We start from the raw sequence: 22,926 nt of genomic DNA, 5'->3' as shown, positions 1-22,926 counted from the left end.
AGAATGATATCTTTGCTTTCTGATAGTTTAGTGTACACAGATTTTGTTTCATGCACAAAATACTTTTAAATATTGTATGAAGTTACCTTCAAGCTATGTGTATCAAGTATATAAGAAACATAAATGTATTTCACATATAGACTTGGAGCCCATCCTCAAAATATATCATTATGTATATGCAAATATTCCTTTAAAAAAATAGAGACAGGGTCTCTTTCTGTCACCCAGGCTGGAGTACAGTAGAGTTGATCATAGTTCACTGCTGCCTCGAACTCCTAGGCTCAAGTGATCCTTCCACCTCAGCCTCCTGAGTAGCTGGAATTACAGGGTCTCACCATCTTGCCCAGGCTGGTATCAAACTCCTGGGCTCAAGCGATCCTCTCTCCTTGGCCTCCCCAAGTGGTGGGATTACAGGCGTGAACCACTGCACCTGGCCACAGATACACCAAAAAAAAAAAAAAAAAAAAAAATCCCAAACCTGAAACACTTCTTGTCCTAAGATTTTGGGTAAGGAATACTCAACTTCTATAATAACAGAAGAATCTACAGGAGAAAGCATGTTTCATGGTAGGATAGAATTTGATTTTTTAAGTTATTACTTTCCTAAATTATGCTTAGATGCAAGGAAAAGTGATTTACTTTATTTAATCAACAAATATTTAATATTTACTAGATCCTCTTCTAGGTGCTATAGGATCAGCTGTGAACAATATAAGTTCTTGCTTTGGTGGAGTTTATCTAGGAGAAGGAAACAGGTGGCTGGCAAGGTTGTAGAGAAAAAGGAATGCTTATACACTGCTGGTCGGAGTATAAATTAGTTCAATCATTGTGGAAGACTGTGGTGATTCCTCAAAGACCTAAAGACAGAAATACCATTTGATGCAGCAATCCCATTACTGGATATATAACCAAAGGAATATAAATCATTCTATCATAAAGACACATGCACGCATATGTTCATTGCAGCACTATTCACAATAGCAAAGACATGGAATCAACCTAATAGACTGGATAAAAAAAAATGTGGTACATATAAACCATAGAATACTATGCAACCATAAAAAAGAATGAGATCATGTCCTTTGCAGGGAAACAGATGGAGCTGGAGGCTGTTATCCTTAGCAAACTAACACAGGAACAAAAAACCAAATACGGCATGTCCTCCTAAGTGAGAGTTAAATGATGAGAATACATGGACACATAGAGGGGAACAGCATACACTGGGGCCTATTGGAGAGTGGAAGGTGGGAAGAGGCAGAGGATCAGGAACAACAGAACTAATGGATACTAGGCTTAATACCTGGGTGATGAAATAATCTGTACAATGAAACCCCATGACACATGTTTACCTATATAACAAATCTGCAAATCCTGCACATGTACCCCGAACTTAAAAGTTTAAAAAAAAAAGAAAAAAGAAAAAAGAAAAAAAAAAGTCAGGGTTGGAGAGATATATATTTGGGAGTGATCAGCATATAGATGGTATTTACAATCGAGTTAGGTTTGGAAGGTGGTGTTATTTTAAATAAAAAAGGAAGTCATGTGTGAGTGAGATCATGTAAGGCAGTGTTTCTTAATGGAGAGTGATTTTTCTCCCCTCTTACCGGGTCATCTGACAATGTCCAAAAACATTTTTGACTGTCAAGTGGTCAGGAGGAGTGCTACTAGTATCTAGCGTATAGAGGCCAGGGATACTGCTAAACCTTCAACAATGCACAGGACAGATATTTCCCCTTCACAACAAAGAATGATCCAGTCTAAAATTTCAATAGTGGCAGAGTGTTGTGGCTTATGCCTGTCCCAGCACTTTGGGAGGTCAAGGCAGGAGGATCGCTTGAGCTCAGGAGTTCGAGACCAGCCTGGGCAATGTGATGACGTTGTCTCTACATAATATTTTTAAAAATTAGCTGGGCATGGTGGTGTGCACCTATAGTCCCAGCTACTTGGGGGGCTGAGGTGGGAAGATCCCTCGAGCCTAGGAGTTTAAGGCTGCAGGAGTTGAGATGCGTGATTGCCCCACTGCACTCCTGCCTGGGTAACAAAGCAAGACCCTATCTCTAAAAAATAATAAATAAATAAATAAATAAATAAATAAATAAATAAATAAATAAAATTTCAACAGTGTCCAGTTTGGGAAATCCTGATGAAGGGTATGGATGTTTTATGTTAGAGAAACATGGACATGTACTGCTGAAGTTTCAGTGGGTTATATATTCCCTCCTCCATTTTCCCTAAAGATCATTGAACGGATGAGCTGATATACTGCAGTAAAACTTGCGAATTTTGACTGGATCTGGTGCTGGAAAAAATTGTACAAAGTTGTATCTTCTATATCTGTGCCATCCAATGTGGTAGTCACTAGCTACATGTGTTTAATTATATTTAAACTTAAATTTAAAAATCGGTTTCAGCTGGGTGTGGTGGCTCACGCCTGTAATCCCAGCGCTTGGCGGGGACCAAAATGGTCAGATTGCTTGAGGTCAGGAGTTTGAGACCAGCCTGGGCAACATGGTGAAGCCCCATCTCTACCAAAAGTACAACAAATTAGCTGGGTGTAGTGGTGTGCACCTGTGGTCCCAGCTACTTGGGAGGCTGAAGTGAGAGGATCACATGAGCCTGGGAGGCAGTGGTTGCAGTGAGCTGAAATCACACCACTGCACTCCAGCCTGAGCAACAGAGCTGGACTCTCAAAAAAAATTCATTCTATAGCTGCACTAACCACATTGCAAGAACTCAGCCACCACACATAGTTTGTGACTACCCTATTGAAAGCATAGATACAGAATATGTCTATAATTGTAGAAAGTTCTTTTGGACAATGCTGTTCTAGATATTTGGATAACAGTTGATGTGGAATTACATTTCTTTTGGTTTCTTGTATTTGTGTAGAAATTTAATTTGTTTTATATAACAGCATTAAGACTTTCAAATATGTTTGTATGAAGTTTTTCTGCATAATATCTCTTCTACATGGTAAATACTATCTAGCTTCTACTAATACACTTTTGCTTTTAAAAATGGTAGTTAAAATCTACAGAAGAAAATATAGAGACAAACCCATATTTGTCAGGTTTGGCTGTATAACAAAATACACTGGGTGGCTGAAACAACATAAATGTACTTTCTCACTATTCTGGAGGCTGGAAGTCTGAGATCAGGGTACCATGGTTGGGTTCTGTGAGGGTTCTCCTCCTGGTGTGCAGCTAGCTACCTTGCTGTGTGCTCACATAGACTTTCTGCTGTATGTGCAGAAGAGGAGAGAGAGAGAGAGAGAGAAAGTCTCTACTCCTGATTCTAATTTTGCATCTTTTCTGTTACTTTGATTCAGTAACATAGGCATTTTACCATAAAAAAACTTTTGCATTTCATCTTGTATACTCGTCAAAAGTTATGTTATTGAACATTAGGATTTGTAGAAGATCACTAGTTGTACCCCTAAATCTGTTCTCTCTTCCATGATAATAAACTTCTAGCTAGGCACATCACTACCTAGCCTCCCATGCTGCAGGAGTGGCTACTCCACTGACTAAACTTTTTTCAATGGAATATGAAACATCAGTGAGGTGTGCAACTTCCCTGTCATTTGCTTAAGATGATATCACTTGTCTTGGACTAATTTTTTATGACTGTTAATGGCACTAATTAGGGAGAAATTCAAACTGGTGTTGAGAAGTGTATCCAGAAGTTTCTGGGTATTGCAAGACAGAACTTATTTTCCTACCAAAAAATATTGCAGTTATCTTTCAGAAAACCAGAGCAAGGCATCCAAAAGGATATGTTGGCAATAAGGAATAAATTATAATGGAAAGATGCTCTGGTCAAGAAACATTTGATAAAACAAAGGCAGGTGCTGGACAACATCAACAGGGAGCACAAAAGCCTTCAGAAATTCCTCAAAAGAACTTGATGTACCTGGAAAAGGCTTCTGCTAATATCCCTGCACCTGTGAAGCAAGCATGAAGAAAAATACAAAGTGAATTGGCTTGAAAATTATGTTGTGTGTGATTCAGCCTAAGAAGAGAGTTTCATAAGACATTAATTTTTGCAGACAAAACATTTTGCAGGAAGACTCTACCAGTAAAGTGTGAGACAGTTTTAGTTTTCAGCACATTTTTACCCTATTTTTCGTTTGTTTGTTTTTTGAGACGGAGTCTCTATTGCCCAGGCTGGAGTGCAGTGGCACAATCTCAGCTCACTGCAACCTCTGGCTCCTGGGTTCAAGCGATTCTTCTGCCTCAGCCTCCTGAATAGCTGGGGTTACAGGCGCCCATCACCATGCCCATCTAATTTTTGTATTTTTAGTAGAGACAGGTTTTCACCATGTTGGCCAGGCTGGTCTCGAACTCCTAACCTCAGGTGATCCGCCCGCTTTGGACTCCCAAAGTGCTGGGATTACAGGTGTGACCCACCGCGCCCGGCCTTACCCTATTTTTATAAACTTAATTTATCAAGTACTTTCTAAAATACTATAGCTTTAGTTTTAAAAAAGCTAAGTGGCTGGGCGCGGTGGCTCACGCTTGTAATCCCAGCACTTTGGGAGGCCAAGGCGGGCAGATTATGAGATCAGGAGATTGAGACCATCCTGGCTAACACAGTGAAACCCTGTCTCTACTAAAAATACAAAAAAAATTAGCTGAGCCTGGTGGTGGGCACCTGTAGTCCTAGCTACTTGGGAGGCTGAGGCAGGAGAATAGCATGAATGTGGGAGGCGGAGCTTGCAGTGAGCCGAGATCCTGCTACTGCACTCCAGCCTGGGTGACAGAGCGAGACTCCGTCTCAAAAAAAAAAAAAGGTAAGTTTTGGATCTTTTATTAGTCTGTTAATATGGTGCCACTTACAGATTTTTTTGTGGAATTTTTTTTTTGCTTTTCATTTAACTTGTGATTTTTGTGTGACTTTTAATTTCTGTGTATATATTCAGTTGATAGATTAAATTGCATGATTGGAGGAAAAGCATTCTACTGGCCTCGGTGTGAGGAAATGAGGACTTTGGTGGTAGGCCTTTGGGGATAATTACTCTTCAGTGGTGGTGAGAGATGACAGCATGCTGGCAGTCCTCAAAGCCCTTGCTCGCTCTCGGCGCCTCCTCTGCCTGGGCTCCCACTTTGGCAGCACTTGAGGAGCCCTTCAGCCCGCCGCTGCACTGTGGGAGCCCCTTTCTGGGCTGGCCAAGGCCAGAGCCAGCTGCCTCAGCTTGTGAGGAGGGTGGAAGGAGAGGTGCAGGCGGGAACCGGGGCTGTGCGTGGTGCTTGCCGGCCGGCGGGAGTTCCGGGTGGGCGTGGGCTTGGCAGACCCCGCACTTGGAGCCGCTGGTTGGCCCCACCGACCCTGGGCAGTGAGGGGCTTAGCACCTGGGCCAGCAGCTGCTGTGCTCAATTTCTCGCCGGCCTTAGCTGCCTTCCCGTGGGGCAGGGCTCAGGACCTGCAGCCAGGCATGCATGAGCACCCCCCTACCCCCTCCCCTCCCCCTCCTCCCCCTCCCTCCCCCCACCTATCCCCTCCCCCTCCCCCTCCCCACCTCTCCCCCTCCCCTCCTCCCTCCCCCACCTCTCCCCTCCCCCACCTCTCCCCCTTCCCCAGCTCTCCCCCTCCCCCACCTCTCCCCCTCCCCCCATCTCTCCCCCCCACCCCCCCCCATCCTGTGCTGCCAGAGCCTCCCCAACGAGTGCTGCCCCCTGCTCCAGGGCACCCAGTCCCATCGACCACCCAAGGGCTGAGGAGTGCAGGTGCACGGCAGGGGACTGGCAGGCAGCTCCACCTGCAGCCCAGGTGCAGGATCCACTGGGTGAAGCCAGCTGGGCTCCTGAGTCTGGTGGGGACTTGGAGAACCTTTATGTCTAGCTCAGGGATTGTAAATACACCAATCGGCACTCTGTATCTAGCTCAAGGTTTGTAAACACACCAATCAGCACCCTGTGTCTAGCTCAGGGTTTGTGAATGCACCAATCGACACTCTGTATCTAGCTACTCTGGTGAGGACTTGGAGAACCTTTGTGTCCGCGCTCTGTATCTAGCTAATCTGGTGGGGATGTGGAGAACCTTTGTCTCTAGCTCAGGGATTGTAAACGCACCAATCAGCGCCCTGTCAAAACAGACCACTGGGCTCTACCAATCAGCAGGATGTGGGTGGGGCCAGATAAGAGAATAAAAGCAGGCTGCCGGAGCCAGCAGTGGCAACCTGCTCAGGTACCCTTCCATACTGTGGAAGCTTTGTTCTTTTGCTCTTTGCAATAAATCTCGCTGCTGCTCACTCTTTGGGTCCACACTGCCTTTATGAGCTGTAACACTCACCAGCGAAGGTCTGCAGCTTCACTCCTGAAGCCAGCGAGACCACGAACCCACCGGGAGGAACAAACAACTCCAGACGCGCCACCTTAAGAGCTGTAACACTCACCGTGAAGGTCCGCAGCTTCACTCCTGAGCCAGTGAGACCATGAACCCCACGAGAAGGAAGAAACTCTGAACACATCTGAACATCAGAAGGAACAAACTGTGGACAGGCCGCCTTTAAGAACTGTAACACTCACCGCAAGGGTCCGCGGCTTCATTCTTGAAGTCAGCGAGACCAAGAACCCACCAATTCCGGACACAGTGGTATAGAAAAATATGTTATTTTGCTGTGTTTATTTCGGGACTTTGAACTATCTCAAATATAGAAATCTAAAGCAGCAACTTTTATTTATTTATTTATTTTTGAGACAGAGTCTGGCTCTGTCTCCAGGCTGGAGTGCAGTGGCGTGATCTTGGCTCACTGCAACCTCCACCTCCCGGGTTCAGGCAATTCTCCTGTCTCAGCCTCCTGAGTAGCTGGGACTACAGGCGCGTGCCACCATGCCCAGCTAATTTTTGTATTTTTAGTAGAGGCAGGGTTTCACCATGTTGGCCAGGATGGTCTCAATCTCTTGAAGTCGTGATTCGCTCATCTCAGCTTGGGATTACAGGCATGAGCCACCACACCCGGCCCTAAAGCAGCAGTATTTGTAATGATTCCCTAGCTCTCCAAATGAGGATATTTTGTAAATAGGTAGAAGGAGGATAACAAGATCCTAATTATGTAGTAGTATTACAGTAGGATCCTTAGATTTATGTGGACCTTTATTTTATTCTTTTGGTGATGTTTAATGATTTGGGGGATGGTAAGAGAGGAAATATGTTGGGGACATAGGCCAATTATAAGGAGTTAAAGTTTGCTTTAACTCCTTATAGTCTCTCCATTTGTTTTGTTTTTGTTTAATTTTGTTTCTGAAATAAATTTTCATTAAGGAAGATTTTTGCTAATAGGCAATATTGATTCGAAGGGGCTGCTGGGGTGGGTGGTGGCCATCAGGACGGCCACTCAGCAAATTAACCACACGAAAAAGCATGTTAAGCCTTACTGCTTAGGAAAATATTTACCCTTTTTATTTTCATTAGCCACCTCAGATCCTATTCTGAATTGATATTGAGGAATACAAAACTGCACTGTTTCTGGGTTTAGTTGGATGGAGTTTTCATTTCACTGTTTTATATAGTTTCTCATTAGACGTCCTTCAACTCAAAACAAACACTCCATCCACCCATCATTTTTTCTGTGGGCTCTGTGACTTGGCTCTGAAGACCCATTTGCAACACAAGATTGAAATCCACTCATCATTCCTGGTTCCCCTTGGCTGTCACCTAGTCCTTGAAGCTCAGAATACCCAAGGCAAAGCCTTGTTCCCAGAGCACAATATTTTTTATCTTTATTACTGTACTTTGTTAATCTCCCTTGTAGTTTAGTAATTTTTGTCTCTTTCTGTTCCCCTTTCTGTTTTGTAAGCTCATGAAAGACAAGCATTACTTCCCTTTCTGTATTTAGGGACAATTCATTACTTACCATTTATTTATTTATTTATTTATCCAGCCTGTCGCCCAAGCTGGAGTGCAGTGGCACGAGTTTGGCTCACTGTAACCACCGTCTCCCAGGTTCAAGCGATTCTCCTGCCTCAGTCTCCCAAGTAACTGGAATTATAGGCGTGTGCCACCATGCCTGGCTAATTTTTGTATTTTTAGTAGAGATGGGATTTCACCATGTTGGCCAGGCTGGTCTGGATCTCCTGACCTCAAGGGATCCACTCAGCCTCCCAAATTGCTGGGATTACAGGCATGAGCCACCATGCTAGGCCTCATTACTTACCTTTTATACTTAATGGCCATGTATTTTTGTTTGTGTGTATATATAGCATCATCTGTAATTCCCAGCCTAAGGCCAGGAACCCCTGGCAAAATATTCATTACCTATTTTTGATGTTAAATATGATTAACTATACCTCATTAATTAGAATGTATAGGTTAAACAAAGCCTTTAAAATTGTTTTTACTCAAATTATTTCAAGTTTGTTAGTGCTAATTAGAAGCTTTGATTGGCTTTTAAAATTTCTTGATTAAAAACCGAACAAACTGATCAAATGATCTTTCTACAATAAAGGGGTACTTGGTGAAAAGATTGGGAACAATTATATTTGGTATCTAGTTAAAAAAATATATGTACCAGGGTTTGTTTTTTAGACAGGATCTTGCTCTGTTGCCCAGGCTGTAGTAAAATCGCATGATCACAGGTCACTGCAGCCTTGACCTGCCAGGCTCAAGCGATCTTCCCACCTCAGCCTCATGAGTTGCTGGGACTACACTATAGGTGCATGCCGCCACACCCAGCTAAATATTCTATTTTTTTATAGATACAGGGTTTGGCCATGTTGCCAAGGCGGTCTCAAGCTCCTGGGCTCAAGTGATCCTCCTGCCTCACCTCCCAAAGTGCTAGGATTTCAGGCATGAGCCATCACACCTGGCCTGTATCCCAATTTTGCCGTTTCTTTTCTAAATCCAAATTTTTGTTCAAATAAATAGCAAATTTTAAACAAGTGCATAGTCATTTCTTTTCTACCAGAAACATCTTGAAGAAGTCTTCTTAAAATATCAGGCTAGCTGTGTTTCTAATTCTTTTAAAAAATCGAAAGTTGGCTGGTCCGAAGTTAGTGAGTTATCTCAATTGATTGTTTACAGTCAGTTACAGATCGAACTCCTTGTTCTACTCTTTCCCTCCTTCTCACTGCAGCAATTAAAAAAATCTGAACTAATTTTATGAGTAAAAATATGTCTTGTCCTTTTTTGATTATCCTTCTTTTTCATAGATTGCTAATTTAGCCAACTATTGATGTTTCCTGATAAGCTGAATTTTCCGAATATTTACGGCCAGCTGTACAGACTTCAATACATTAACCTAGGTCATTGGTGCTTTAATGTTTCTCTTGGGGGGCATCCCACCTTATTCCACTTTAACCCAATGCCTTAGCTAAAAATGTTTGAGAAATGGAAATTTTATTTATTTATTTATTGGCAATAGAGCCTCTCCATTGCCCTGGCTGGAGTGCAGTGGTCATAGCTCCCTGCAGCCTTGAACTCCTGGCCTCAAGTGATTCTCCCACCTTAGCTTCCCAAAGTGCTAGGATTACAGGTATGAGCCACCACACCCGGCTAGAAATTTTACTTGTAAATGTTACAAAGTTAGCAATTCAATATTAATTGAGATAATTAACATGTATTTGCTAATTTAATATATATATTAATTATAGCATAGTATATCAATATAGTCTAACCCTAAAACTTCATTAGTTCATTAATTTGAGTCTCTTAGAATTTCTAATTCTATTGGATCAGATTAAGTTCCTCTAAAAATCTATTGGAATGCTTTATTTTTTTTATTTTTTGAGACAGGGCCTCACTCTGTTATCCAGGCTGAGTGCAGTGGCATAAACACAGTTCACTGCAGCCTCTACCTCCTGAGCTCAGGCCATCCTTTCTCCCTAGCCTCCCAAGTGGCTGGGATTTCAGGTGTGTGCCACCACGCCTGGCTAATTTTTGTGTTTTTTTTTTTTATAGAGATGGGGTCTTGCAGTGTTACACAGGCTGGTCTCAAACTCCTGGGCTCAAATGATCCTCCCACCTTGGCCTCCCAAAATGCTTGGATTACAAGTTTGAGCCACAGCACCCTACTTTTCTTCTTCAAATTTGAGAAATGTGTTTTTTTGTGAGGTTTTTTTCTTAACTTTCTAAAAGGCTATTTGAAATAGCAAGTTAGCAAGTTAAACCTTAATTTTAGGGTTAGCATAAGTATTGCCATACGATGCAATAGTTTGGTGAATTGTGATAATAATTTTAAAAAGTCATTTACAGCCAGGTGAGATGGCCCATGCCTGTAGTCCCAGCTCCTTGGGAGGCTGAGTTGGTAGGGCAGCCTGAGTTGAGTCTAGTTTGGGCAACATAGTGAAACCTATTTTCTAAGAAAAAAGAAAACCAGTGAATTACTACTACGATGTAATTGCTCACTTTCTAGGCTGGGTGCAGTGGCTCATGCCCGTAACCCCAGCACTTTGGGAAGCTGAGGCAGGCAGACTGTTTGAGCGCACGAGTTTGAGAACAGCCTGGGCAACATGGCAAAACCCCATCTCTACAAAAAACACAAAAGTTAGCCAGGCGTAGTGGCGTGCACCTGTAGTCCCAGCTACTCGGGAGGCTGAGGCACGAGAATTGCTTGAACCCAGGAGGCGGAGGTTGTAGTGAGCTAAACGCACCACTGCACTCCAGTCTGGGCAACAGAGCAAGACTCTTGTCAAAAAAAAAAAAAGGTAGTATTTCTTATATCAAAAGGGCATTTAGAGTTGAAGTTTTAATGTTCTAGCCATAAAGGAGGCAGAAAGCCTGGGCGTGTGGCTCATGCCTGTAATCCCAGCACTTTGGGAGGCCGAGGTAGGAGCGTAGGAGGATCACTTGAGCCCAGGAGTTCAAGACCAGCCTGGGCAACCTGTCTCTCCAAAAAAAAAACGAACAAACAAAATTAGCTGGGCATGGTGGTGTATGCCTGTAGGCCCAGCTACTTGGGAGACAGGTAGGAGGATCAATTGAGCCCAGAAGTTTGAGGCTGCAGTGAGCTTGTTTGTGCCACTGCACTCCAGCCTGGGCATCAGAGCAAGACCCTGTCTTAAAAGAGGAAAAAAAAAAAGGAGGCAGAAAAAATGTTTATTAATCCTTGCAGTTTTCATTAAAATAAAAAGATTACTTTGGTATGGCCATGACAGAAACCCTAAATCATTCCAGGGCCTAGAGTGGTACTTCCCTGAAGCTGGGGAAAGGACCCTGGGCAGAAAGCAAAGGAGGGGGCAGATCCCTGGCTGGCCTGATGCCTTGCAACCCTGGGCTTGAGCCACATAAGAGCATTTAGTGAGTCAAGGCCTAAAGGAGGAGGGAACAATTATCTCCTGGGAAAGGGCTATATAATCTGGAACACCACAGATTTCTCAGACGCGGAGTTGAGATTAGAGTGTCTCCTACCGCTTGATGAAACAATTCAGTCTACTTCAAGGACGTGCACCTGGAAAAATGACTGGCTTCTGGAAACAGTGTTATTCTGCTATTTAGGAACAACCCTGCTGATTGAGCCTCAATAAGGAAAATAGGCCTCAATCAACCATATTTCTTAAGTGCTAGAGGACTCGTTAGACAATAACTCTATTACAACAATAAGAGCACTTACTGAGTGCTTACTCCAGGGCAGCACTTCATATTCATTATATTATTTAATTAAGAAGATTTTTACTTGGCATTAATTTAATATCACTTTGGCCCTGTCAGCTGTGGTTTTACTCAGGATTTTGTCCAAAATCTAGAGAAACCTGATTATAAGAAAATTTAATAAGTCACAAAATATTATATTTTCTTTTCCACTGCATTGTCTTGGTTATTTAAAAAAATGGTTCAGAAATAGTATTGTACCAATGTTCATATCCTCATTTTGGTCATTGTACTATAGTTATGTACGGTATTAAAATAAGTGGCATAAAGGATATGAGGCAACAATTTGTACTAAATTTGTAATTTTCTGTAAGTCTACAATTAGATAAAAATAAAGCTGAATAATAGTTCATCATTTCTTTAATAAATTACTCATTTTATTTTATTATGGCAAAAAGAAATACATGTTTAATGTAGCAAATATTTTATATACATATAAGTAAAAAGAAGAAAATGAAAATTCCCTAATTTAACCAGCTAGAGGTATTTACTATAAATATCTAGGTATATCTTCATCAAGATGTGTGCATATGGACATATAGCATGTATGAATTTCAATCACTGACTATATTTGCAAATGTAAAACTTTATATTTCTTTATTGAACTTAATTTTTCTTAAACCTTCATTCTGCCTAATGGCAGGTAACCTAATTTAGTCACTTCTGAATAGTTCAGTCATTTTAAGATTTAAAGTCATTTAAATTCAGCTTTCAGATTTAGTTCCCTTCGTCTTACCCACCAGGGAGGTTATATTTGGACTCCATTCATCTAATGCAGTCACCCATTGCAGATGTAACTCATCTCACCTCACCGTTGGGGACCAGCATCCTGCTTTTGTTTGCTAGAACCATAATCCTGATGATGCCCTCCAGCCTTCACAGGGCTAGAGGCTCACAAGGCTACCCCGGGTCCCCTTAACAGAGCCACCTCAGTCACCTTTACTCCTTTATTGCCTTGGCACATTTCTAGTCTCTGAGGTTCTCTCTGAGATCTGCAGAATACTGAGGCCACTCTCTGGGAAATGTGGCATAGCTTCCTTTTCTTGTGTAATCTACAGAAACTTTGCTAGACTTTCTAGCATTCTCCCTTTGTGCAGATTGGCCCAGTGTGATGGTATTCTAGGTCTTCTCTCTAAGACCCACTTAAGGGATTTACTCTGCAAACCCTCCTGCCTGACATTCTTGAAAATTCTCCTCAATTGAACTTTTATCTCCTTTGGAGTGAAAGAAGCGAACAAACAAGCAAGCTCTTACATCATCCTACTTTCTTCAGTCTATGAGTTATGATATAAGCTTAAAAGTTTCTGTATTGAAGCCAGATTTCTAGATATTCAGATTCTTCTCTTAAAGCCCCTCCCTGCTGCCTGGTCCCTGCCCCCACACCAATGGCTTTAAAATTCTATTTTGCAAAGTGTAAAAAACATTTTTTTTTGAGAGGGAGTCTCGCTGTGTCACCCAGGCTGGAGTGCAGTGGAACGATCTCGGCTCGCTGCCATCTCCGCCTCTTGGGTTCAAGTGCTTCTCCTGCCTCAGCCTCCCAAGTAGCTGGGACTACAGGTATGGCACCATCACCCCCTGCTAATTTCTGTATTTGTAGTAGAGACAGGGTTTCACAATGTTGGCCAGGCTGGTCTTGAACTCCTGGCCTCAAGTGATCTGCCCACCTCGGCCTCCCAAAATACCAGGGTTACAGGCGTAAGCCACCACACCCAGCCTAGAAAAGGCCTAGAAAAAGTGGCTCACGCCTGTAATCCCAGCACTTTGGGAGGCCAAGGCGGGCAGATTGCTTGAGCTCAGGAGTTCGAGACCAGCCTGGCCAATGTGGCAAAACCCCCTGTCTACAAGAAATACAAAAATTAGCCTGGGGGTGGTGGTGCCATGCCTGTAATCGCAGCTACTTGGGGGCTGAGGCTGGAGAATCGCTTGAGCCCAGGAGGTCGAATCACGCCACTGCACTCCAGCCTGGGCTACTGGAGTGAGACCCTGTCTCAAGAAAAAAAAAAATTTTTTTTTTGAGACAATTGTGAACATTTGATTATGAACTAGTTATTAGAAGATACTAAGAAGTGATTTGTTATTAATTTTGCCAGGTCCATGGTTTTTAGAGAAATTAGTGAAGGCCATTATAGGCAGGGTGGGTTGGGAAGTGACCCGAGAAATGAAGCTACTGTGGGAGGAAGAGCCACATATGCCATTCTTGGATTTCAGGCTCACTGAATCAAACGGGAGTGACATGACATGATTAATTTGCATAAAGGTTCTGTGTGTGTGTGTGTGTGTGTGTGTGCACGGGCATGTGTGTGTGTGGCTAGGGGTGCAGATGAGAAGTGTGTTTGTGACTGGGAAGTGGCTGGCTGGAGAAATTTTGGATTCCTTTCCTTTCCATACCATTCCTACCTAAATTTATCAGTGAACATTTTGGTTCTCTTGGCTTCATCACCTTCCCTTTCCAAGCCACCACCATCTCTTATCTGAACACAATAATTTTCTATCAGTTGCTTCTATCCTTGTTTCCTGTAATTCTCCACAGAGCTGCCAGCATTTTTAAAAGCCTAAATCAAGTCGTTATCCTCCTGCTCGAAACATTCAATGGCTTTCCATTGCAGTTAAAACACAAATTTTACTGGAGACTCTTAAGTTCCTATGTAACCTGGCCCTTATCTTCCCCACCGTCCTTTTAGTGCCACTTTCCTTCTTACTCACCAGCCAAACCCCACAAGCCACCCTACAGTTCATTTTCCAGTTACAAGTGTTCATTTTTCATATCTACTTGTGATGCTGTTATCAGAATAAATCAAGAAAAAACCAAAAAAGTTAATTTTTCAGAAAACATTATTTAGTATAATAGTTTTGAAATTGTAATTGCTGTAACATTTTAATCAAACTAGTACAAATTGTACTTGATCTTTAAATATAAAACAAAGAATGATTAAGGGAAAGAATGTTTTACTCCTGGTTCTGGGATGTGAAATATTGATAACATAGAGAAAACATACTGTGGGAGGAAGAGCCACATATGCCATTCTTGGATTTCAGGCTCACTGAATCAAACAGGGGAGTGACATGACATGATTAATTTGCATAAAGGTTCTGTGTGTGTGTGTGTGTGTGTGTGTGTGTGCGCGCGCGCGGGCATGTGTGTGTGTGTGGCTGGGGGTGCAGATGAGAAGTGTGTTTGTGACTGGGAAGTGGCTGGATGGAGAAATTTTGGATTCCTTTCCTTTCCATACCATTCCTTTAAATAGCAAATTTTAGTTCATTCAAAGCACATTCTTTAACCATGGGACAGTCATTATTCATAGATCTTAAGTCTTTTTATTTTTTTGAGATGGAGTCTCGCTCTGTTGCTCAGGCTGGAGTGCAGTGGCTTGATCTCGGCTCACTGCAACCCATGTCTCCCTGGTTCAAGCGATTCTCCTGCCTCAGCCTCCCAAGTAGCTAGGACTACAGGTGCGTGCCACCACGTCTGCTTAATTTTTGTATTTTCTTAGTAGAGTCAGGCTTTCACCATGTTGGCCAGGCTGGTCTCGAACTCCTGACCTCAGGTGATCCACCCAACTCGGCCTCCCAAAGTGCTGGGATTATAGGTGTGAGCCATTGCGCCTGGCCAGTCTTAAGTCTGAAAGAGCTATGTTCTCATATTTGGAATTTTTTCTTTGTCTAGTGAGCATGACTTTCTTACTCTTACAAAACATCAATTTGAGCAATTTCTGGCATATTTTCCAAGAATTTATTTAAAATCTGGCATACTAAAAGCTGAACTGTATTGCCATTTGCCTCAACACACTTCAAGAAGAACATACAACAATTAAAATAATTTGAAATGCCATTGTCTTTATCTTCCTCATCAACTTTGGTCAAATGAAATAATACATTGTTTCAAATTCTATTGCTCATCCATGGTTCATGATTAGAGATCACTACAGTTTATTTACGATAATGAACAAATGTGTCTTGAAAAGCTGACTACCGGCCTGGCACGGTGGCTCATGCCTGTAATCCCAGCACTCTGGGAGGCCGAGGCGGGCGGATCACCTGAGGTCAGGAGTTCAAGACCAGCCTGGCCAATATGGTGAAACCCCGTCTCTACTAAAAATACAAAAATTAGCTGGGCGTGGTGGCGGGCTCCTGCAATCCCGGCTACTCCGGAGGCTGAGGCAGGAGAATCGCTTGAATCCGGGAGGCGGAGGTTGCAGTGAGCCAAGATCACCCCCATTGCACTCCAGCCTGGGGGACAGAGCAAGACTCCATCTCAATAAAAAAGAAAAAAAAACAAAAAAAAGAAAAAAGAAAAGCTGACCACCTAATATTATTGTGCTGACAGGCGTGTAACATGGACCTCTCTGTGACGCGCAAGTATTATCTGGCAGTTACATGGTGCCGCCTGTGCAGCTGGGCGCCACCACCAGCTTCCTGCCCTGTGCGATTAAAAGGCCAGCTTCGGGGACAGCAGCCTCCTCAACGCAAAGCGACCAGCCCTGCCAGGCGTCGGCTGCAGCTGGTCCAAGGTTGACGGTCCCAGGGCCGCATTCTCCTTCCGGTCACCTCAGACTCTGGAAAGAGAGCCATGGAGGGCCTCAGAGCGCCCCTCTGCAGTTCCTTGAGGAAAACAAGGGCCTCCCCCTCTTGGCTGGAGCAGCCAAGTGCCCACGGGGAAAATGGTCCCGTCCACCATTTCAGGCAAACGCCCCCATAGCTGTAATAAACATGTGATGGGTTTCCTGCACCAAGAAAGGAAAATTTTCCTTAAAAATAACAAAAAGAGGTGGGGAGGGGACTCTAAGTTCCATTTAAGATTTTCCAAACTCGTTGTGTCTCATGCATACGCTGAGGCTTAACATGAAAATTTGGAGCGAAAGTCCCCACGGTTCACCACAGGGAATGAAGTAAAGTATCTCGCCGGTAGCTCTAGGTCTCGTAAACCGTGGAGCTCCTTTAGTATAAGGCCCTATTATGTGCCACATTAGATGAGAAGAAAATAAGAGGAAGGATACGGTAGAGCCTTTAGAATGGGGTTCAGTCTTAGGACTCGTAGGATAAAGGAAGGTCGTTTCCCTCCGTTTGAGGCAGGGAATCAAACAAAACACCGGCACCGCAGGCACCGCAGTCGCACTCCTGGGGCCTCGTGGCTTTCCCGCGCGCCCGCCTTGGGGGCGGGGAAGAACCCGGATGGAACCACCCTTGCAGCCCGGACCCCCCGCCGTCTTTGAATGGCAGCGGGGCGGAGTTGCCCTCCCTTCTGTGCTCTGACTGGTTTGGCTCCGCACTCTCCTCTTCGTGATTGGGCTTTCCTAGTGCCAGTCACAGAGCGACGCTGGTCTCCCAGATTGTTGCAGAAGGAGACGGCGTCGACGTCTGACTGGACTCGCGGCGACTTACCTTTCAGTCGTGCGCTCCTGATCCGGCGCTCGGAATTTGTCCCCGGCTTCAGGGCTGCGGGGCCTGGAAGGAGGCGTATCGAGGCGGCTCGAAAACGATCCAGGGGAGCCGAGGCGCTCCTCTTGTCATCCCACTCAGCGCCATGTCCTGGATGTTCAAGAGGTGAAGGGGGCGGAGGGGGTGGGGCGCTCGGTCTAACGGCCTGGAGGCGTCCCCAAATGAACCTGACCTTCCCCGCGTTCCTCTGCGTTCCCTGGGCGATTTGTGCAGCTGTATTCGTTCTGTTGGTCGCATATGTGGCCGCCGGAGAAATAAATGCATTGTCTTCGCTGGCGAGTAGGGGCTCCTAGGGCGAGTCCCGTGTTAGGGACTTGGGAAATCTCTGTCACCGACTGTGGGGGGCCTGGGGCTTAAAGCATCTCGGCCAGTGCTTTATTTAACAAAACATCCATTAGATACCCACTGTGCGCCAGGCATTGTGCTCGGTGGAGGGCCGAGTAAGACAGTCCTTGTCCCCAAGTGGCTCACAGCTTATCTGTATGCACAGACGTGCAGATAAGTATTTGCAGAGGCGCTAGTAGAGATATGCGCCACTTGCAAGGAAAACGCATCGCAAATAAGCGACTGTTCTTAGGAGAATGGAAACTTTTTGCAATGCTCCAGTAGACTCCCCTTCACTTTTCATTGTCCAAATTGGTATTTATGGTCATTCCCGAAACAGTTACACCTAATGGGTTTGGGGTTATGCTTAAACCGGCGACGGAAGGCGGGTACGGGTGGCTTGGGGCCAATTTCCCACGGTGGCGTGGTTTGGATACCAGAATAGGTGTTCTGCTCGCAGGGAGTTACAGTGATGGATGCTGGATGTATTTTCTGGAAAATTATAAACAACTTCTGGTACATTAATAGTTGTATTTTTATAAGTCTTTTATATAGCTCAATCCCTATTGAAATTTTGGCATATGATTTCATTTTTTAAATTATTTTTTTGACATGGAGTCTCGCTCTGTCGTCCAGGCTGGAGTGCAGTGGCACAATCTCGGCTCGCTGCAACCTACGCCTCCCGGGTTCAAGTGATTCTCCTGCCTCAGCCTCCCGAGTAGCTGGGATTACATATGGGCGCCACCACGCCTGGCTAATTTTTGTATTTGTAGTAGACAGGGTTTCACAATGTTGGCCAGGTTGGTCTCAAATTCCTGACCTCAGGTGATCCACCTGCCTCTGCCTCCCAAAGTGCTGGGATTCCAGGCGTGAGCCACCGCATCCGGCCCATAATTGTAGTTACAGACATCATATACATATCAATTTAGATGATTTTCACTGGGAAAGAGGTTAGTGAACTCTGACTAGGCTTTTCATTTTGAATACCTAGGGGGCAGGTAGAAGAGCCAATATTGAAAACAGGTAGAGTTCCTAGAAGCCTTCTCCACTCACTGCAATTCCTGCTTTAACGAGAGTAACTATTAATCTTTACCGTGATTCCCATGTAAGATTTCATTTGCTGAAGTAAAGCATGAGAAAACTACTCATATGGTCTTTGGAAATACTTAAATATTATATTGTTTTTCTTTGCCTTTAAAAAAAAATAGGGATCCAGTTTGGAAGTACTTGCAGACTGTCCAGTATGGAGTTCATGGAAATTTTCCACGCCTCTCATATCCAACTTTCTTTCCACGTTTTGAATTCCAAGATGTTATCCCTCCAGATGACTTTCTAACTAGTGATGAAGAAGTAGATTCCGTTTTATTTGGAAGTTTGAGAGGTCATGTGGTTGGACTACGCTATTACACGGGAGTAGTGAGTATAATAGTAGATAATTAAATTTTGATTATATTTCTGGCGTTAACCTAGAAAATAAGAGAATTCGCAGGTGATGTGTGCGGTTAATCTTTATTTTACTTTAAGTTAGTTAAATATTTGTACGCAAAAAATAACAAATACCTTAAGTGACCCTCCCACCTCAGCCTCCCAGAGTGTTGGGATTACAGGAATGAGCCAATATGCTTGGCCTCAGTGCGTTATGTTTGGTTATTATGGGTAGCACCCCACCCCCACACCCCAGCGCCTTGTTCATGTCATCGATTTGTTGCAAAAAGGAGATCGTTTTGTGGAATCTTCTGGATTTTATTCTTTCATTTCTCCGTATGTTTCTTATGTTTAAGCTTCTCAATAGGGTGTCTGAAGCATGTTCGACAGGAGATTCCTTAGGAGTTTCATGTTCTGGATTTGTTTTTCTCCTGTATTTCCTTTACATTGGAACGTTTCAAATTGTTTTTTGATTGTCTGAAATGTGTTGTCTAGGAGATTCCTTAGGAAGAGACAATATTTCCTAAGTTTTTATATTTTCATACTTGTGGCATTTTATGAATGACAGTTTCATAAAATGAAAGTTATGAAGGACTTAATGACAGTTGGGCTGAATTTAAAATCTTTGTAATATATCTTTGTAATAAAATCTTTGTAATAAAATCTCCATATCCTAATGTTGCATAGAATTCTCAGGCCAGTGTGATTTTCTTTCACTTAAGTGAATTGGATTTTTTTTTTTTTCTTTTTTTTTGAGACCAAGTTTCGTTTTGTTGCCCAGGCTGGAGTGCAGTGGCCTGATCTGGCCTCACTGCAATCTCTGCCTCCCAGACTCAAGCAATTCTCCCAATTCAGCCTCCTGAGTAGCTGGGACTGCTGGCGTTCACCACCATACCCAGCTAATTTTTGTATTTTTTTTTTTTGTATTTTTTTTTAGGTTTTGGCATGTTGTCCAGGCTGATCTGGAACTCCTGGGCTCAAGTGATCCGTCCGCCTTGGCCTCTCCAAGTGCTGGGATGCTGCACCCGGCCTCTAATTTTTTCTAATAGATTCTTGAACTCTATCAGTTCTTATTTCACATCTATATATTCTCTGGCTCTCATATGCATTTCTGAGCTTTTCTGTTTCAGATTTGTGCTAATTTTTCAAAACTTACATTGCTTTCGATAATTATTTTATACCACCATGAAATACTAGATTATGGTAGTTATTGATCTTAGAACAATCAGTATTTTTGATCTGAGAATAATCTCTATGACTTCGGTAAACTCTAGTGTGTGTTGATAAAAAGTAATCATCAGTTTTCTTATTTTGCCAAATATATATACTTTAAATTTTATTTTTTTCCAGGAACACTATGTTGAGATATCATTTATTTTATAATTAATGCATGTTCTTTTATTTGTTTTTGTTTTTTTTTTGAAACGGAGTCTTGCTTGCATTGCCCAGGCTGGAGTGCAATGGTGCAATCTTGGCTCACTGCAACCTCCGCCTCCCAGGTTCAAGCGGTTCTCCTGCAACAGCCTCCTAAGTAGCTGGGATTACAGGCATGCGCCATCATGCCCAGCTAATTTTTTGTATTTAGGAGAGATGAGGTTTTGCCATGTTGGTCAGGCTGGTCTTGAACCCCTGACCTCAGGTGATCCACTCACCTCGGCCTTCCAAAGTGCTGGGATTACAGGCATGAGCCACCGCGCCCAGCCACGTTCATTATTTTTAAATGGCTAAAAAGGCATTAAATCTTCTGAAGTCTATCATCCAGAACCATAACTTATCTTCTACACTTGTTTCTGTGAGCATGTGCATGTAAATTGGAATCATATTATGTATTAATAAAAATGAGATCATATTATGCCTAATGTGATTAGGAATATCATCTATATTGGACTTATAATTTCCTTGTTGATGGACATTTTTGAGTTAATCACTATTATAAAAATAATAAAAATTGAGATACTATCTTTGCATACTTGTTATTTTAATTTTTTTTCTACTTTATTGAGATGTGGTTTACGTATGATAAAATGTACATATTTTAAATGTATGATCCTAGTGTTTTGACAAAGATGTATACCTGATAACTACTACCCCAATCAAGATACAGATTGTATCCGTCTCCCTCAAAGTATCTTGTATCCTATTGCATTCATTTTTCCCTGTTCCTGCCCTAGGCAGCCACGAGTCTCATTTCTTTTCTTTTTTTTTGTTTTTTTTGAGACGGAGTCTCGCTCTGTTTCTCAGGCTGGAGCGCAGTGGCGGGATCTCGGCTCATTGCAAGCTCCGCCTCCCAAGTTCATGCCATTCTCCTGCCTCAGCCTCCCAAGTAGCTGGGACTACAGGCGCCTGCCACCATGCCCGGCTAATTTTTTTGTATTTTTGGTAGAGACGGGGTTTCACCGTGTTAGCCAGGATGGTCTGTATCTCCTGACCTCGTGATCCGCCCGCCTCGGCCTCCCAAAGTGCTGGGATTACAGGTGTGAGCCACTGCGCCCGGCCACACAAGTCTTCTATCACTATAAATAAGTTTTGCCTATTCTAGAACTTCATATACATTGAATTCTACAGTATGTACTATTTTAAGTCTGGCGTTTTTCACTCAGCATAATTTAGGTACTTCTTTGGTCTATTTTGGTTAGTTACATTTTTGAAGAAAAGCATCCATTTTATTTAGATATTCAAACTTATTCCCATAGAATTGTGCATAGTAATCATTTATCCTTATAAAATTGTAACTGTAATTTTCTGGAATTGGGGTTTGGTGGTATGATGTGTTGCTCACAAGTGGCCAGAACTCCTATTCCTGAAGGATTTTGAATTGGAGGAACACATACTTAAACTCCCTTTTATGCCTTGGTTCTAGTTACTCTTTCCAAGTTGAATAACCATTTTTTTGGTTGTTTTAAGTTGGTGCTCTGAACCTTAAATTTCAGTACCCTTTACTCTGAATTGTCAAATTTTGATAAAATGTGCCATTTTTTTAATGTCTGCCAGAACATAATTTTATATGCCTTATTGGCTCCATTAAACTTTTTAAAAACTTTTTTAAAAAGGTGATTATATTCCTGTTTTTATTCTTTGTGTTACACATTCGTGTCTTTTTTATTGATTAGCTATGACATTATTTCTTTTCAAGGCAGGCTCTCTTGAATTTTTCTTAATGATTGTGTTTCTTGGCTTAATAATTACTCTTACATTCGGTTTTTCTACTTAGATTTATTTTCTTTTCATTTCTGTTGGACTTGCGATTTGAGCACTTAATTTGAGTCATTTAATCTTTTAATCTTTAAACGTGTTAAGTATTGCGTTGCCTTTAGCCACCACGTTTTGTTATGTAGTAGCATTCTTTATTTTTAACTCTGGTGTTTTCTTATTCTTATTTCATTTTTATTTTTTGTTTTTTTTTTTTTAGTGTGTTTTCAATAAGCATATGGTTAAGTTTATTTTTTGACCCATCAAAGGCTTTATTTTATAATGTGGTTTATTTCTTTTTCTATTTTAAAATACAGTTATGTGTTGCTTAACAATGAAGATACTTTCTGAGAAAAGTGTTAGGTGATTTCTTTGTGGAAACAGAGTGAACAAGATGTTACTTTACTGAATACTGTGGGCAATTGTAACACATTTGTGTATTTAAGCATATATAACATGAAAAAAGTACAGTAAAAATATTGTATAAAATATGAAAAATGGTACACTTCTATAGGGCAGCCCCATTATAATCTTGTGGAACAACTGTTGCATAATGCATGTGGTCTGTCATTGCTGAAATGTTGTTATGCGGGGTATGACTATACTGTTATGATTAATTCTCATTCCTTTTGTTATTCTTGTCTTTGTCTTTTTGTTTTTTTATATGTCCTGTTTTTTCTTGCTGCTGGGACCATGTTTTTGTTTTTATAGTCTCCAATATTTTGGCTCATATATATTTTATTTAAAATTCTAGTAATTACTTATTTGTAACGACAGTTAACTAATTGTAATTAATGATAGCTTATTATGATAAATTACAATTATGTAATACCTTGAGATGAAATGCTCAAAAATTGTTAGTTTTGTGCCCTGCTTTTTTATTTTGGTTATGTATTTTCTAGGATTTGCATAATCCGGTTTAAAAAAGATCATCCTGTAGGCAGTGGCAGAGGGGTGGCGACTGGG

At 42.3% G+C, this 22,926-nt stretch overlaps 1 protein-coding gene, 1 long non-coding RNA gene and 1 pseudogene across 10 annotated transcripts in view, besides 4 other annotated features; 2 read left to right on the top strand and 1 right to left on the bottom strand.

The window, feature by feature from the left end:
- Positions 1–620: 620 nt before the first annotated feature.
- Positions 621–17,112, bottom strand: HLTF-AS1 (HLTF antisense RNA 1). The gene is made up of 3 exons (NR_046648.1): positions 16,966–17,112; positions 3,913–3,943; positions 621–857 (listed from the first exon to the last, which is right to left on the bottom strand). It is a non-coding gene; the product is annotated as an HLTF antisense RNA 1 (long non-coding RNA).
- MED28P2 (mediator complex subunit 28 pseudogene 2) lies at positions 3,629–3,945 on the top strand (annotated as a pseudogene).
- Positions 16,549–17,066: an enhancer, noted in NCBI's record as "OCT4-NANOG-H3K27ac hESC enhancer chr3:148804165-148804682 (GRCh37/hg19 assembly coordinates)". NCBI's record gives its function as "activates a minimal SCP1, AML or CMV promoter by ChIP-STARR-seq in naive H9 embryonic stem cells {active_cell/tissue: H9 hESC(naive)}" and the evidence as "EXISTENCE:reporter gene assay evidence [ECO:0000049][PMID:30033119]".
- Positions 16,549–17,584: a biological region, named in NCBI's record as "OCT4-NANOG-H3K27ac hESC enhancers GRCh37_chr3:148803647-148804164 and GRCh37_chr3:148804165-148804682".
- HLTF (helicase like transcription factor) overlaps positions 16,911–22,926 on the top strand; it is a 56,471-nt gene continuing 50,455 nt past the window's right edge. For all 9 annotated transcript variants that reach the window (NM_001318935.2, XM_017007079.3, NM_001318934.2 and 6 more), the window contains exons 1-2: positions 16,911–17,127; positions 18,555–18,762. In NM_001318935.2, the coding sequence (NP_001305864.1) occupies positions 17,108–17,127; positions 18,555–18,762 (228 nt within the window). In that variant the 5' untranslated portion in view covers positions 16,911–17,107. The remainder of the gene's footprint in view (positions 17,128–18,554; positions 18,763–22,926) is intronic.
- Positions 16,952–17,161: an enhancer, noted in NCBI's record as "active region_20678". NCBI's record gives its function as "activates an Ori minimal core promoter by ATAC-STARR-seq in GM12878 lymphoblastoid cells {active_cell/tissue: GM12878}" and the evidence as "EXISTENCE:reporter gene assay evidence [ECO:0000049][PMID:35858748]".
- Positions 17,067–17,584: an enhancer, noted in NCBI's record as "OCT4-NANOG-H3K27ac hESC enhancer chr3:148803647-148804164 (GRCh37/hg19 assembly coordinates)". NCBI's record gives its function as "activates a minimal SCP1, AML or CMV promoter by ChIP-STARR-seq in naive H9 embryonic stem cells {active_cell/tissue: H9 hESC(naive)}" and the evidence as "EXISTENCE:reporter gene assay evidence [ECO:0000049][PMID:30033119]".

The sequence above is a fragment of the Homo sapiens genome, chromosome 3 (genome assembly GCF_000001405.40).
Source record: "Homo sapiens chromosome 3, GRCh38.p14 Primary Assembly".
NCBI lineage: Eukaryota > Metazoa > Chordata > Mammalia > Primates > Hominidae > Homo > Homo sapiens.
The sequence above is the reverse complement of the archived record's forward strand: the minus strand, read 5'-3'. Positions and strand labels throughout refer to the sequence as shown.